Source organism: Homo sapiens, chromosome 2 (assembly GCF_000001405.40).
Source record: "Homo sapiens chromosome 2, GRCh38.p14 Primary Assembly".
NCBI lineage: Eukaryota > Metazoa > Chordata > Mammalia > Primates > Hominidae > Homo > Homo sapiens.
This window is the reverse complement of record NC_000002.12, coordinates 187,538,157-187,555,603: the sequence shown is the minus strand read 5'-3', so window position 1 is coordinate 187,555,603 and position 17,447 is coordinate 187,538,157. Positions and strand designations below refer to the sequence as shown.

Sequence of the window (17,447 nt, the reverse complement as noted above, 5' to 3'; positions counted from 1 at the left end):
TATGCATTTTTGCTCTAAAGGCAGACTGCATGACATTAGAATCACAGCTCCACATACTGAACTCGATCTTCCTAGACATGTGAAATGGGCATACAAAGAGGACCTTCTTTATAAGCTAGTTGTGAGAATTAAATCGATAATTTATGTTCCAGTCACCACCAAATAATTATTCAATATGTATTAAAAACACTCAAGATGAAAGGTTACCTTTTACAGAGAGGTCTAAGGAAAGCAAGAAAAATTGAAGGCACAAAGAATCTGAGATGCAGAAGCAAGAAACTCCTACATTTTCTGACCAAATGTCTTCAGCCTTCCTGGCAAAGTAGATTCTGCCCATTTATTAGATCTCTAGTGATCTTAGTCTGATATGACCATAATTCCAATACAGAGACAGTACGGATGAACCTCAATGATAGGGACATACAGCAGAGACTCTGGTTGACATCTGTAAATATTTACATATTTTGTAGAATAATAATAATAGAAATACAGAAAACAGCGATAATGATAGCCAACAATTATTGGAGGTTTGCTACATGCTGGGTCCTGCCTTAAGTACTTTTTATGTATTAAGCCATTTAGTACTTACATCAAGCCCAGAAACTTTTATTATCGACATTTTAGGAACAAAGGAACTGAGGCATAGTGAATTCAAATAACTGGGCTGAGTAGCCAAGTTAGCAAGTAGCTAAGGTAGGGCTCAAAGCCTGACACCTGCAATAGATAATGCATTACATTGTCTCACTAAGAGAGACCTCCAACGGTAGCCCTCAGACTTTTAAAAAAAATAAATACATTGACAGTGGGTGAAACAAATGAAATAACTTGAAGAAGAAACAAACTGCAAAAAAGCTTATTAACAGTGTAATAATAAATATGTAATTTTTTAAACCCTAACTCTAGGGGGAAAAAAGCATTCTTTTTCAACTGATTACAAAAACAATCCTGGAAAGTAAAGGAAATAGCTATTCAAAATGATCGTATCTGAAATCTTGGTGTAAGCTGTTTCCTTCATCTGTTTCCTCCACTAAAAAAAAGAAAGAAAGAAAGAAAAAAGAGGTTTAGACTAAATAGAGTCAGAGTTGCAGTGACCTAAACAGGAAGTTGGGCTATTCCCAACTGCCAGTGATCTCTGAAGCCGACTCTGAGGCTCCCTCTTTGCTCTAACAGACAGCAGCGACTTTAGGCTGGATAATAGTCAAATTCTTACCTCGCTCTTTCACTGCTAGTAAGATCAGATTGCGTTTCTTTCAGTTACTCTTCAATCGCCAGTTTCTTGATCTGCTTCTAAAAGAAGAAGTAGAGAAGATAAATCCTGTCTTCAATACCTGGAAGGAAAAACAAAATAACCTCAACTCCGTTTTGAAAAAAACATTCCAAGAACTTTCATCAGAGATTTTACTTGTGAGTACCTGGCAATATACTGTCTAGCCCATAAGAAATAACTTTAATTTCTTTTTCTCGGGGGAAAAGCAGGGTGCTGAGAGGCAAAGAACTGATAGGGGAGGATCACTGTTTATTTGCGTAAAATGAAAATCAGCCCTTCCCTGTAAACAGAGTAAACTCAAACTGCAATCCAAACTTGAGTTCTCAGCATTTTGCATTTAGTTCTTAAGCAAATTTATGTGCAATTTTTATGATTTTAAACCATAAACATTTTTGTAACTAATTGGTGTATGTAGCTTTTTTATAATTTGAAGATTGTAGTAGAATTCTTTACTAATTGTGCTTGGTTAATTGGAAGTTCTTGAAAGTTCGGTTTACCTTTCCATTTTATTTCATAACATATAAAATAGAGACTGTTATTCTTCTATTCAAATAATCTTTCAATACTATTAGTTGATGATATTTAAAATGAGGTATAACCATTAAAATAATCGTAATCTAAATGGAATATTTTATGCCAGCATTAACTAATCTCTCTAAGGAAATATTTTACAATTCTCCAAAGACCAAAGGTCATATTCTGAGATACTTAAACGAGAATACTTACGATCAAGTCTATGTTGTGCAATTTTGTAAATTAAAACAATAGATAACATGCCTACATGATGTACTGTTATGTTCCTGTTATAAAATGTTTGCTTCTAGTGAAAAATGAAAGCATATAATACAGCAGTAAACAACCACAGAAATATAATGAGAGAAACAATTATTTAATTATGAAAAAGCACTCATTAGTATAAAATAATTACCAAAAATAAGGGCCAAGAGTACTACCATGTGGGAAAAAAGAAAAGATAAGCAACAGCCACACTGTGACTCAGTGCTCTGGAAATTAGTCACAAAATGACTTTGTATAACATGAGATAATATAAACACAAAGGGCAAAACTCAAGCAGGAAACATACTGCCCAGAGAGTCATATTTCATGTGTAAAAGCATAATATTTACATGAAAGGGGGAAAGTTGTGACAATTTTGAGAGATACTGCAAAACTTTTGAATAAAATGTGTTAGGGAGGCAAAATCTCCCTAACACATTTTAAAGATTATTTTAAATCTATCATTCTAGTGCATGATTATTTCAATATACAGTGTCCATATCTCATCTAATCCTTAAACTAAAGAGGGATAGTCCCTGAAATTTGGCTGAGTTTGAAATGTTAATTTGTGGCCTACAGCTTAATAAAATTATATGAAATATAATTAGGGATCAACAAAGATTGAAAAATATTAATGTAAATACAGATAACTAATCAAGTAATTTTAAAATAAGAGTAAAACTTTAAAATATTTATTTTTACTGATTTGAGTAGTTATATTGGAAAACCAAGTTTTTCTACTTCAAGTGACCACAGAATCTTGTTGGAAAAGTTTAATGACATATACTACTATTTGATTCCTATCTCTATTAGGTATACTGAATTGGACAAGTTTTTGTTTTGTTTTGTTTCTTTGTTTTTAAGGTACAGTCTGATATCTTTTGTTTTACCACCAATGACTAAATCAAAACTCCTTTGGAAATGTGGTTCCTGTCCAAATGGATTATGTTATCAACTGGTGTTTGATGGTCTGACTGATTGTCCATTTATCAGTCAGATAATCATTTAAGGAAATGATTATCATTTGCTTGTTGATTGTACAACTATTTTGACTTAAATCTTCTGTCATAAAACTTATTGTTAAATTAATAATACATAAAATGATAACATATTTTGTAATAAACTCTAATTTTCAAAACAGCTTAATTATCTTAAAAATTAATTTTCTAATCTTTAGAAATCTTTTGTTTACATCTTTCAAATTCAAGAGGTAAGTGGGCAGGATGGCAAACTAATGGAGAAAAAATGCCAACTTTAGAGACTTAATTTAATGCCAGAGTGCCTATCCATCTAACCAAATAGTAAATATGCTATCAATTCCTTAGGAATGGTTGGCTGATTAAATTCAGTGTCACAAAATTTTAAGGTATCTTTCAACTGATATCTCTACCTAATACAAGAAAAAAAATGCAAAGTAAACATCCTTACAAAAAATAAAAAGGAACAGACAATATGAAAAGTGAAGAAAATTACTTAGACTAGGATTTTCAAAAAAATCTTATCAGTATAAATTAATTAAATTGAATTATAATATAGGTTAAAATGGGTTAATTATATCATCAATTTATTTTTTTCTATGTGGACATGATCTAAGAATTGTACTACAATACAACTCATCTATTCTCAATAAAGGCCTTCTACAACCAGCCATCCTTTTTTGTTTACCATCTATAGCAATTAACTCATTTTAGGAATTAAATTTGGCAGGCTGCCTTTTTAAAACACAAATATATTTTCATGCATTAGTGTCAAAGGTAGATTCTGCTATCTTTTATAGAAATATAGCAGTACTATAATTCTTTCTGATTGCTACAATGTGCATTAGGAGAAACTTGAATTCAATAGACATGTGTTTCTGGATATCAAATCTCACCAGAAACAGGGAAGTGTTCAAGTGTTTCCAGCAAGTTCTCTTCATAATAGACCATCTTTCCTGGCTTTCTGAAATCCTCACTGACTGCTTTCTTGGTGTTATGTATCAATTCCGGGGGCCCAGTCTTCCCATTACCTTTCTCTCCCTGTCTTCACTTCTCCAAGTGTCAGGTGCCAAGTAGAACCACAGCCTGAGATTCAACTACCAGTAGCTACCAGTTGCTGAAGGCAACTTCTTCACCTCTACTTTTCTTCTTCCTCAAACCGACAATAACAGAAAGTATGGGCCCATGTCAAATCCACTGTTTTCTCTTTAAGCCTCTATTTGGGATGCTATGTCCTCTCTTAGTTGGAACAACCAGGTGTTAAAATTACTTCAAAAACAAAAGAATATAAGGACATCATGGCCCATAATAGAAGTTCCAATGCTGCAGTACAACTATCCCAATTGTTCCATGTGATGGACCACAGGTCTCTGTGTAGACTTGGAATTATTGCAAGGAATTACCCAGTCAATATGTGAGTAAAAAATATTATATATTGCTTATTAGGGCATAAGAAAGCTATTTCAACATCAGAAATGTGAAAGTATTCATCAGTAGGACACTGATAAAATGTAAACAGTTTTTATTACCAAGCACAATGTGCCTTTGACACCCTCGAAATATACCACACCCTCAAGTGCTGCCACCACACTGCTGCCAACCTAGTCTATCTCTTCTCCTCTTCTTGACCCTTATCTATTTCTATCCAGTCCTTGAATTCTATGATAATTCATCTGTAAGCATCACTTCATTCCTCATTCCTCATTTCCCAAGGCTTAAAAACAGAGTAAATCTCAGAAACAGGGTAAGTCTCCAGAATAATGGTGTTTATTATGAATATTTTGGTAATATTTTAAAGTCCATTTAGGAAGCTTCAAAGATTAATTTTCATCTCAGAAAATGAATCACAATGGTTATATTAAAATGTAATACAACTTTTCTCTAGTTTTTTGGACATATGGAAAATACTTTACATTTTTAATATTTTTGTCTGCTAATTCTGTTTTTGATGTCATTTCTGTCATTTAGACTTTTCTCATTATGAGTTATATTCTACTGTTCTTTGCATCCCTAGTAATTTTGATGTGGTTGCCTAATATTATGAATTTTACCTTATTGGGTGTTGGTATATGTTGTATTTCTATAAATATCCTTGAGCTCTCTTCTGGGATGTAGTTAAAGTACTTGGAAACTGTTTCCTATTTTGTTGTCTTGCTATTAAACTTTGTTAGGCAAGACCAGAGAATTGTTTATTCTATGGTTAATTTTTTCCTACTACTGTTGCAAACACCTGAGTACTATACTTAATGCTCCATGAACTGAGAGTTTTGCAACTTGGGAACAAAAAATATTCCCTGCTTTACATGTGTGGGCCCCTCTAACCCTTTTAGGTGGTGCTTCACCCAGTCTTTAGACTTTTCTCTTATGAATGCAACAGATCAATATTGAGCTGAAGCCTAGAAGTCCATCTGAAGATCTCTGGATCTTTCTTTCTGTGTAACTCTGTCCTCTCTGACGTTCGGTACTATATACCCTAACTACCTCCTGAGACTGTCTGCTTTGTCTCCCAAACTCAGCGAGACCACTGGGTTCTTGTAGAGTTCCTCCTCCCTGAGCTTTCATATAGAAACTAAACTGAGTCTCCACTCAGTCTGGTGGAACAAATGTACAAATGTGGGGCTAAACACTTGTTTCTCATCTCTATGAAATCACTGCTCTCCACTGACCAATATAATTTCTTATATTTTGTCTTTTTTTTTTACTTATTTCAGGTGGGTGGAAAAATCCAATCCCTGTTAATACATGGTGGTTAGAAATAGAAGGGCTTTTAAAATTGTATTTTCATAACACCTTAAAAAACAAAAGATGAATATAAATTTAAAAATTTAAGGGCACAGAGCCTGTAACTTTTAGTTTGCCTAAATAAGATAAACATACATTTATTGTTTATTGTATCCCAGGAGCTATGTGATATGAGTACATAAGTGTTTATACAATGAAGAACATAAGATCACTGTTTCTAGAAAACAGTTATTTCATCTTATGTAAGAAGTTTATTGGTTCATTATTTTTTCTAAATAACAATAGCTATTCAGGAAGCTAATATCTCACTCTCTTCTATATTTTAGATGACAAATGAGCTCCACATGCTTAAAATCAATCAAGTGATCACTTGTTCAACAGGTACTTCCCACTTGCCAGACTATGAATGCTCAGGGTTATTTACCTAGAGTTTTAGCAGAAATTACAAATTGCTTTTCCTAATAGTTTCCTATCACAATTTCCTGTAATTGTCCTTCCTCCCCTGCTTCTTGGCTACATTCATATAAAGAAAGCTAGGTAAAGTAAATACAAATTACAACTTTCTCTTGTTGTGAAAGGAAGTTTCAGGTGGTTCCTGCTCAATTTTTTTACACCACTTGAGGCAAACAGATAATCCCAAATAAATGAAAACGTAGTAGACATAATTTATATTAGCACTGGAATTTGATGTTGTAGCTATGTGAACATTATTCAAGATCTTATATGTCTCATTTGAGTTATGTGGTTTTAATCTCGTTTAGCAAAGCTATTTAGTCAATGAAGAAAGGAAATCTGTACACATTAAAGAAATGATCTGGTGCTGATGTGAGTTTTCAAAAAAATTAAGCATTTTTAAAGAGATATCTGGGCTTTCCTTTTAGTGTAATAATTTTATTCTAATTCTAGACTTCCCAGAATTAACTTTCCTTAGTATGATTTTTTCTTAAGGAACAGCTGAAGAATGTGCCAAATGAGGAAAGATGTTTAATCTGGGGGAATTTGGACTAGCCTCAATTCCCATAACAAGAGAGATCTGTTTTTCTATATGTGGTGAGCTCTGGATAAAACTCTTTTCAAGGCTTTTTAAAGTTTGCAAATATTAATAAGAGCCCTCAAAAAAGCAAAAAATTTCTGAGGTGCCAATGTTTGCCATATAACTATTCTGTCAATATTACTCTCCCCACCACCACTTACCTGCATTCGATATTATCATCTAATACAGAGATAAGGAAGATACAAGTGACCATCTAGCTTCCCTAATAGGTGCTGGAAACCTCTTTTGTAAAAGACATGGGGAGACCATGGATGATCTCCAAGAATGTAAGTGAAAAAATATCTCTGCAAGTATATACTTGCACTTTAGAAGGGAGCTTATACCTTTTTTCCAGCTCTCTCAGAACCTTACACACCACCATGAAAGATATATTTGAGACCTACTTTAATATACAAGGATAACAGTATATAAAACTAGAATCAAAAAGTGCCAATCAATGATATATCCTGAAGAAGACAACACAAATATTTTAAAGACAGATAAAACTTCACATGGGGAGGAAGTTGGGGAGTGGGGAATTAAGATATTCTATGGATAAAGAAATCTCCAATAAAGAAGACTTTATATTTTTGAAAGCCAAGGAAGAGATTAAACAATTTTAAGATCTCTTTCTGTTCTATCATTATACTTGAATAAGCAGATTCAATTTTAATATCTTTATTAAAGAAAGATCTCTGGATCTTTCTTTCTGTATAACTCTGTCCTTTAATGTCTTTAAAGCTGAGCATTAACTATATATTTTTTATATATTAATCCTTTGAAAGATATGAAAAGTGTACCATGTGATAAATTTTAAATCACTTATAAAGTAATGAGGATTTGATGTAACTTCCAAAAATATCAAATCTCTGGTCACCATTCCCAGAAAATTACAATTGAATGAGTTAGGTAGGGCATTCAACAAGAAAATATCTGATTTCTGATGATATGATCATGTGTTGGGTAGGACTTTGATAAGAAAGAGATGAATGGCAATTTAGACTAACTTGTCTTTATAAAAATGTACAATAATGAGCATTAAATATGTGAATCAAAGAGTACTATTTATTGGATTCTGTGAATAAAGTGGCACCAATTACCTGTCATTCTCAGGACCCATAGTTCTCATCCTTCATGGGTTTTCTTCTGTTTGGATGGAAGTGACTGAAGATTAACTTCTTAATGGCTCCTGGGGGATCATGACTCAGCTGCCAGGACTTCTCGTTCCTTTAGAGTGATTCAGAGGAGTTGATCACGATGTCATCTGGGCAGATGGTTGTAGTCACCAACAGCTGTAGTTCCTCTCTTGAACCAAACTCAGACCCCTCCCAGATACTTGTCATTAGAAGCAATCATGAATTCTTAGCTTTTTCACATTAAGGCTTATTTTTATTACTAAAAATACTCTCCTTAATAGGAGTGAAAACACTGATCATTATTTGTCATGTTTATTGTACTTACAGATAAAAATTTTAGCTAATATTTGAAACTATAACATTTTTCTAATCAGGAAGTTTTCTAATTCATCATAAATCTGAAACCAAAAGGTTCTAGAAATCCAGTCTCAGGTATTATGAGTGTAGATTTTGCCCCCTTTTTCCCCTAAATATAATAAAGTAACATTTTTGTGAGAAATTCCCATACCTGGGTGAACATTTTGCTCTCCTTTTGCCATACCACAAGTTGAGATCATCAGAAGCAGAAAGTTGAGAAGTCTCCAATGTATTTGCCTAGGCAGAGATAAAATCTGATGGAAACAGGCCTTCAGGAGAAATGAAGAAACTGACTTGATCTTTTTAGCTATTAATCCTTAAAAATTTTTAAAAAGGTAATATCAACCTGAATTCCAGAACCTGTTAGGAAAGTCTCGTCTTTCCATGTATTTGCAAAGCACATGTACCTCCCACAAGATATCCCATTCATTATGAATTAATAGATTGATTTTAACTAACAAATTAATTCATTTACCAAGAGTTACATAGACAGGTAGGTAGATACACAATTAAAGGAGCAACTCTTCAGGAAACAGATGTTTTGGTCCTGAAATACCATTTGCTTATCTCACTCAATAACAGGTACCTAGAAGAGCAAATACAAAAAGCAGGTAAAATAGCCAAAAGTAGCCACAGGTTTCTCAATCTCTCTATATCATTCTCATTTTTAATATGTATGGTAATTATAATAGAGAAATACACATTTAATATATTATTCTTTTTTTTTCCTCTCATGCCAAAAATTCATTGTATTATCTTGCATTCGTTTTTTATTCCATTTCCTTTCATTTGGAGCTACTAGTTTTGTAGTTGTGCAGAATTTTATTCTTGAAAACCTCCGTTTGGTTCAGATATGTAATGCTAACTTTTATTTGTTTTTTTTCCCCTCTTAAGGAAATGACGATAACATACCATAAAGAGCTTTGCTTTTAAACAAATTTAGTTAGTATGGAAATCAGTAGTTTTGATGAAGAAAGGTGAATTCATTCAAAGAAAACAATGTAATCTTTTTCTGAAAAAAAAAAAAAAAAACTTACAAATTTAACTATAAAGTCCAGACAAAATAATTCCATTCATTTTTAGAGAGTTTTAGTAGTTATGGACAACTATACATAGAACAGGCATATTAAAATACTATTCATTACTATAAAAAGAAACATTGGCATTATTTCCTTTATTATGTGTTTCTTTTTTATTTCAATGTGTTCGTTGTATTCTTAGTAGTGGAGATCTATAGTATATCACATTCTCTTCAGATTTCAATTGCAAATTTTAAGAAATGTGTTTACATGTTTACATTTGCCCTGTTCTTAATTTTCTAATGATCTCTTCTCCCCCTTCCCCCTTATTGCCTCTCAGTTTCACTTCTCCACTTCCAGGACTCACATTCCTCTCTTAATTGGCAATAAATATTAATATTTCCTGTTATTTGGTAGGAGAAAATTATTTTTACCTATCAAAAACATAAACACCAAAAATGATTTTGTTTTAATTAAATTTCTTAACTTTGGCTCAAAACATTACATAAAAATTTGTTTTAATTAATTTTCTTTAATTTATTTTTGTTTTAATTAAGTTTAAATATGTTTCTTAACTTTTGCTCAAATATTAAATACACATTTCCTAGTTATGGTTTAATGAAATGTTAATTTCTAGAGATTGTAAGTAATCTGAAATTTACTTTAGGTGACAAAAAGGAAAATATTTGTGAGAATAGCGTGTCTTTTGAAGCTTTGCAGTTGCCCTTTCCTTGAATGGTCACATTCCTATGTCTGAGTTGAAACATTGCCAATATGTAAATGTAAGACTCTGGGGTGAAAAAATCAATTTCCTGAGCTTCAGTTTTTGTATTTAAAAAATCTGGATATTTCAGATACTTATTTCTATGATTGTTTTTAGCTCTAGCAGTGTATAAATGTGTGACCTCATCTCCATTTTAGCTTTAAAATTATTTAAATAAATAGTTTGCATATGCTATATGCTATTGTGTTGTAACATAAAAATATATACTCATTTTGCCTGGTATTGCTATTTCCTCTCCAAGGGATTTTCTTTTAATACTATGAATAACAAAAATATTAATTCTATACAGTGAACAGTTTTATTCTTGGAAGAGACTTCCCTCCTTTAAAAAACTATGTACAATTACTTTTGTACTTAAAAGAGTGAAACAATTATTTTTCTTTTTCTTTTTTCTTTTTTTTGAAACAGGGTCTCCCTCTGTCACCCAGGCTGGAGCGCAGTGGCACGATCACGGCTCACTGCAACCTCCGCCTCCCGGGTTCAAGCGATTCTCCTGCCTCAGCCTCCGAGGAGCTGTGATTACAGGCGCACACCACAACCGGCTTATTTTTGTGTTTTTAGAAGAGTCAGGGTTTCGCCATGTTGGCCAGGCTGGTCTTAAACTCCTGACCTGAGGTGATCCGCCCGCCTTGGCCTCCCAAAGTGCTGGTTTTATAGATGTGAGTCACTGCACCTGGCCAAGAGAAACAATTATTTTTTCTTATCAGTGAGATTTTCACAATCTAAAATGTAGAAAGAGTTGTGATTTGATTCATGAAGTAAGGTTAAGAAATTTTTCATCAAGTAGTTCTCCAGAAAAGTATGACTTCCTGTAAAAAGAGCCAAATCCAAAAAGAAATTTCCCTTTAGCGAGTCTTTTTTTTTTTTTTTCCAGATGAAGTCTTGCTCTGTTGCCCAGGCTGGAGCGCAGTGGCACAATCTCAGCTCACTGAAACCTTCGCCCCCTGGGCTCAAGCTAGCCAGTCTTTTAGTAAACATTTAGTCAACAAATCTGCAATTATAACGGAGGTTTGATTTTTGTTGTTTTTGTTTGTTTTTAAGTCACTCTGTGTTTGTAATATCAATTTACTTTTCAAGTTTAGAATGTTTTGCTTCATTGTTTCCCATATTTTATTTTAATCTGTGTAAATATTATACACTTTAAAATTATAAGTGTAATTTAAGTGTAAATATTTTACACTTTAAAATTATAATCCCAAAATTTCACTCTTATGGTAAAAAATTAAGCATTGCTTTAATGTCAGGTCAGTTTTAATGATAAGAAATGGGGATTTGGCATGGGCTTATATTGTTGATATCCTCTCATCCCCTAAGCATCCTTCAATCAAAAAACATTTTTAAGTTGGTTAATAGCTCTTTTGTGAAAGCAAAAACAGCAAAACAACTGTGAGGTTATATTTGGCTGCTGATAGGAAACCACCACAGCACAGGTAGCATAAATAATTAGCTTAAATTTATTAGCCTGCATTAGAGGTACAAAATACAGAGGTAAGCTGCTTCAAGACTGGTTCCTTCAACAAGGAACCAGGTTTTTCCTATATTTTTATTTCCATCATACACAGCAGATAAATTTTATTTTTAGTTTGTCTGCCTCAATGTTACAAGATTGCAGCTTCAGTAACAAGTGTCACTTACAGACAGGACAAATAGAAGGAGGAGATACCTTGTGGTTCTTCCCATATAGCTGCATTCACAGCAAGGAGAATTTTCAAAATCACCCCATCCCCAACCATGCAGCTACATCCCCTCTCAACTTGTTAGCCAGAGTTCATATAGAGATATCTAAACCAAACACTATAAAGTTAATGGAATCACCATGATTAATGTGGGTTAATGGTGATTTATTCTTTAGGTGGGTGTAGGCTAACCTTCTCTGAGAGCTGGATTTATGAACATATTAAAGAGTCTTCTCACTCTCTAATGTAGCAGAGAATGTTTCATGAGCAAACAAACCAGATGACTAAACTTCTTTTAAGTAGAAGAGAAACTATGAAAATGAATTCATAATCTCATTGACCTAAAGTATTTTCTGTTACCAAACCATCTTTTTCTCCATGAACACCAGTTTTTTACTTGGTTGATCTTAAATTATGCATCTATTTTTGTGTACAGCATTTCAAATTCGTATCATGTGGATTATTCCCAAATTATCTTCTAGTCATTATCACTGCCAGTTTAACTTAGTGTATATTAAATTCGGTAGATGGATGTGCCACCATATCTAATAACTTTAATTATGTTGGAAATCTACATTGTTTAAAATGTAATTTTATTTTCTCTAGTAAAATAAATATGAACGTGCACATAGCCATTTTAATATTTTTAATTCCCAAGTGTGATATTACTAATTTGAAGTATTATCTACATTTCTAAACATTGAAAGAACACATGTAGAAAAAATGATTAGTTGATGATTAAGTAATAAACCATTTAAACCATTTATATATTTCCTCTTACCAGCACCTGTCAAAGTCTTGCTTCTTTTGTTCTTTATCTCTGTCCAGTTAACAAAATCCAAATATAATCATTCAAATATTAAATTCCTGTATCTGGAGGGGAGAAATGCTGAATTTTTAAGGCAGCAGAAGTTACTATTAATTTATAGTTGGGATTCCAGCAGCCCAGATTTTTTTTTTTTTTTTTTTGAGACTAAGTCTCACCCTGTCACCCAGGCTGGAGTGCAGTGGCACAATCTCAGCTCACTGCAGCCTCCATCTCCCGGGTTCAAGCAATTCTCCTGCCTCAGCCTCCTGAGTACCTGGGTTTACAGGCACACGCCACCACGCCCAGCTAATTCTTGTATTTTTAGTAGAGAGAGGTTTCACCATGTTGGTCAGGCTTGTCTCAAACTCCTGACTTCGTGACCAGCCACTTTGGCCTCCCAAAGTGCTGGGATTACAGGCATGAGCCGCAGCGTCCAGCCCCAGAAATCTTTTAATGCTAAATTATTAATGCTCCATTTTATTTTACCTAGAGAGAACATCAAACCTTCACATTTTTAAAAGTCTACTGCTTCTTGTCATTCTGAAAGACAATCTCAATCTCTTTCTTGTACACAAAATTTAATCACAGCAAGAAATTTTTCGTCTTCCTATCTGCTCTTCAGCAACTTTCTCATCTCTCTCTCTGTTTCTGTTTCTTTGTTTCCCCTGGCAAAACACACACACACACACACAAACACACATTCATTACACACACTTTAAAAATGTATTTGTATCCCCCACCAAGAAAACCTATCATTTTAATGGGAAATACATCTTTTATTCAGCCCACAGTTAAACTCTTTTCACCTGTGCCTGGGTTCGCATCTGCTATTTATTTTACTTTTCTTACAGCTTTTGACTCTCCCTTTTTAACCATATACAACTATAACCTTCATAAAATTTTTCTCTTCAAATTCTGTCTGTTACTTTTCAGCACAGATTTATAAAATAGCATCCTAAATTTCTGTTTTCATAGCCTCTGTTCCTGTTCCTACCCCATCTCACTTGCTGCTGCCCCCTCACGCTAAAATATTTTAGAAGGTTACTTGTGATGCCATTGTCATTAAATCCCATGCATGTGTTTACCCCTTGCCCTCTGGAACACTCTGTGCGTTAGACATTGTTGACTCATGACAATTTCTGGCAATAATCACTTCCCCTAGTGTTTGTGTAACTGCGGCTTCCCAAGTTTTCTCCTGCTTTGCTGGCCATTTCCTCTCAGTTTTCTCATACTTGTTTTTCTCCTGGTTGTTCAGAGTTCACTTCTAGGATATTCCTTCCCAATCTTCACAGTCACCTCATAGTCACTATGAGGATTACATGAGTTAATATTTGTAAAAGCGTTCAGGAGAGTGCTTGCTTCACATCAAATACTATATATACTTGTTAAATAAATAGATCTCATTCACCCCACGAAACAATGATCGTTTGTCTCCTGATTCTCAAGTTTTTGTCTCCAGCAGAGACCTCTATTCTGAGCTCCATAGCTACATATGGGGCTTTTTATTTCATAGTTCCACTGGAGGTTTCACAAATCCTTCAAACTCAAACTGCCTCACCTTGAATTAATCACCTTCCTAGGGCTACGTTCTTTTTTATTTTAGGCTCCCAAGTCAGTGCCAGGAACCATCAATTGACTCCTTTGCTAAAGTCAGATGCTCACTGTAGGTGGCCTTGATTCCTCTCTCTTCCTCACTTGCCTTATCATTTTAATCATAAAAGTCTCTTGAATTTACTTTTGAATTTTCTCAAAAATTAGACCACTATTTCCAATATTGTGTTACAAATCATAGATAATTCTTATCCCCAAACTTCTGGCTTTCTGATATTCCAGAATATATTTCAAATTGCTCTGTGAAAACTTTCAAGTATACATGTTAGGATAACTTTTTAGTTTTATGTCTTACAGTTTTTGAGTGTGTGTGGTAAGTATTTGTGATGTTATGAAATATGGAGAAGATATATGAAAATGTGTCTGAATATTTTTACATAATATATTGCTTGTGGTCACTTGTGCTTCAGAATCTGAAGCATCTTGAATGATCTGTTATTATTTAATCCTATCTCTTAAGTTGCCTCTTTAATTAAAGGTTTATTATTTTCTCTTTTTTTTCTTTTTTCTTTTTTTTTTTTTTTTTGAGATGGAGTCTCACTCTGTCACCCAGGCTGGAGTGCAGTGACACAATCTCAGCTCACTACAACCTCCACCTCCTGGGATCAAATTATTCTCCTGCCTCAGCCTCCCAAGTAGCTGAGACTACAGGTGCACATCACCACACCAGGCTAGTTTTCGTATTTTTAGTAGAGATGGGGTTTCACAACATTGGGCAAGCTGGTCTCGGAACTGCTAACCTCAAGTGATCTGCCCGCTTTGGCCTCCCAAAGCGTTGGGATTACAAGCGTGAGCCACCCCTCCTGGCTGGTTTATTATTTTCTTTTAAGAAAATGTATTACATAAAAGAAGTCATCTCTTTATATGACTTACATCTATAAAATTTCTCACAGATTTTGCTCATTCTTTGTCCTAATTTATCGAGCTTTCTTTCCAAGTTTTCAGAAGTTTTTGATATTTCACTTTACCAAGGATCTATCTTCAAAATACTATTTCCTTCCAGTTCACAGCTGTCATATTATTAACAGCATTAATCCCCCTATACTGAATATGCAGTGGGGCTTCTGTGATTTTGATCATAGTATGATATGATTTATTGACACACTATGTTTTTTCCATCTTATTTTGCAATTTTTTGCAGCAAGGTAAGGATCTTACTCTTTCTGTTTAGGATCAAGCTCAAATAGTTAAGGGTTATAAATGAGGATGACGTGGCCGGGGCGCGGTGACTCACGCCTGTAATCCTAGCACTTTGGGAGGCCAAGGCAGGTGGATTGCCTGAGCTCAGGAGTTTCAGACCAGCCTGGGCCACATGGTGAAACCCCGTCTATACTAAAATACGACAACAAAAAAAATTAGCCAGGCGTGGTGGTGGGCGCCTGTAGTCCCAGCTTGAGGCTTGAGGCAGGAGAACTGCTTGAACCCGGGAGGCGGAAGTTGCAGTGAGCCGAGATCGAGCCACTGCACTCCAGCCTGGTGACAGAGCGAGGCTCCGTCTCAAAAAAAAAAAAAAAAAAGAAGATGACGTAATGGGTGGTGGTTGTGATGTTAAAGATGTCAGGAATTCTCTGAATAAGCATGTTGAATACAAAACATGTTTATTCAGTTTGAGGATAAACTAGACACTGCTTTCACATTAACAATCCCTCCTCTCCTCCACCATTTCTTTTTTGTTGTTGTCTGATTTGGAATAAGTCACATCTAGCCTTTTGAAAACAAATGGACCAATTTTTTTTCTAGCTCTCTATCTACTTTCATCAAACTTTATCTGAAGGGATTTTCTACTTCTAGAAAAAAATCACAAATGTTGGAGTTTCCAATCGTGGATTAAATTTTGCTGAGGAAAATGCACTAAGGTTACACACTATCTGCTGTATTTACACATTATCTTCACTCGTAAACACAAATAGGCTTAATAGCCTCATTTAACAAATGGAAAACTGAATCTTATAGATGGTTAGTGTGTTTTTCCATTAAAAAGTTGGTAAACTTCGATCTTTTTTTATGCCTTTCCTATGTCCATTCTATCCATCTCATTTTTTCACACTACCTTGTCCTACATATAAAATAACATCAATATATTTATTTGCTCCATCTCATTTTAATTCTTAAGTTATTTTGAAAGAAAAAAAGAGTGTACAAGGGCACACCTAGAACTTTATTATCACTGGTCCTTACTTTGCATTCTCACACTCTGTAAAATATTTCTCTAATGTACTCACAGACATTATACTGTCCACAGTAGCAGCCCCTTAATGTTTATTGAAATCCATATGAACAATTGATAAAGTTTGAAAGAACATACACATACACACACACACACACACACACTCTATTTAGGCAAAGGTACAAATAAATAAACACTTTCATATGCTCATAAGAAAAGTGTATGTTGATATTATATCTCTGAATGACAATTTTCAATATATATTAATATTATTCAAATGTTTAAATATTAGACCCAATAATTCTTCTCCTGTGAATTTACCATAAATAAGTAACTTTCAAAGTTTTGAAATATTAGACTACAAACACACTTTTGCATGAATACTTACAATTGCAAAAATAGATATTGCCCAAAAATATGAGAATGGTAACATAAATTTTTAAATATCCAAAAAATATTATGCAGCCATTAAATAAGGTTATGCAAGTCAGTTTGGAAAGTTATTAATTTTTTAATTTTACTTTAAGTTCTGGGGTACATGTGCAGAATATACAGGTTTGTAACATAGGTATACAAGTGCCATGGTGGTTTGCTGCACCCATCAACCCATCATCTACATTAGGTATTTCTCCTAATGCTATCCCTCCCCTAGTCCCACGAACCCCTGACAGGCCAGGGTGTGTGATGTTCCCCTCCTTGTGTCCACGTGTTCTCATTGTTCAACTCCCACTTATGAGAGAGAACATGCAGTGTTTGGTTTTCTGTTCCTGTGTTAGTTTGCTGAGAATGATGGTTTCCAGCTTCATCTATTTCCCTGCAAAGGACATGAACACATCCTTTTTTATGGCTGTATAGTATTCCATGGTGTATATGTGCCACATTTTCTTTATCCAGTCTATCATTGTCAGGCATTTGGGTTGGTTCCAAGTCTTTGCTACTGTGAATAGTGCTGCAATAAACATACTTGTGCATATGTCTTTATAGTAGAATGATTTATAATCCTTTGGGTGTATACCCAGTAATAGGATTGCTGAGTCAAATGGTATTTTTGGTTCTAGATACTTGAGGAATCACCACATTGTCTTCCACAGTG

The 17,447-nt window shown here is 34.2% G+C and overlaps 1 protein-coding gene and 1 long non-coding RNA gene across 13 annotated transcripts in view, besides 1 other annotated feature; one reads left to right on the top strand and one right to left on the bottom strand.

Annotated features, from left to right (window-relative positions):
* TFPI (tissue factor pathway inhibitor) overlaps window positions 1,169-17,447 on the top strand; it is a 90,206-nt gene continuing 73,927 nt past the window's right edge. For 7 of the 12 annotated variants that reach the window (NM_006287.6, NM_001329240.2, NM_001329241.2 and 4 more), the window contains exon 1: window positions 1,169-1,404. The gene's annotated coding sequence lies outside the window, so the exon portion shown is untranslated. Of the gene's footprint in view, window positions 1,405-10,966; window positions 11,101-17,447 lie in introns of all 12 variants that reach the window. The other 5 variants (XM_047445620.1, XM_047445621.1, XM_047445618.1 and 2 more) reach the window with 1 other exon arrangement.
* Window positions 7,576-8,775: an enhancer, noted in NCBI's record as "P300/CBP strongly-dependent group 1 enhancer chr2:188411556-188412755 (GRCh37/hg19 assembly coordinates)". NCBI's record gives its function as "activates an origin of replication core promoter dependent on BRD2, BRD4, P300/CBP, MED14 and CDK7 cofactors, with strong dependence on P300/CBP, by STARR-seq in HCT116 cells {active_cell/tissue: HCT116}" and the evidence as "EXISTENCE:reporter gene assay evidence [ECO:0000049][PMID:35650434]".
* CALCRL-AS1 (CALCRL and TFPI antisense RNA 1) overlaps window positions 8,079-17,447 on the bottom strand; it is a 544,253-nt gene continuing 534,884 nt past the window's right edge. The window contains exons 4-6 of the long non-coding RNA NR_187179.1: window positions 8,765-8,875; window positions 8,441-8,526; window positions 8,079-8,121 (exon numbers count right to left, since the gene is read on the bottom strand). This is a non-coding gene — a long non-coding RNA (CALCRL and TFPI antisense RNA 1). The remainder of the gene's footprint in view (window positions 8,122-8,440; window positions 8,527-8,764; window positions 8,876-17,447) is intronic.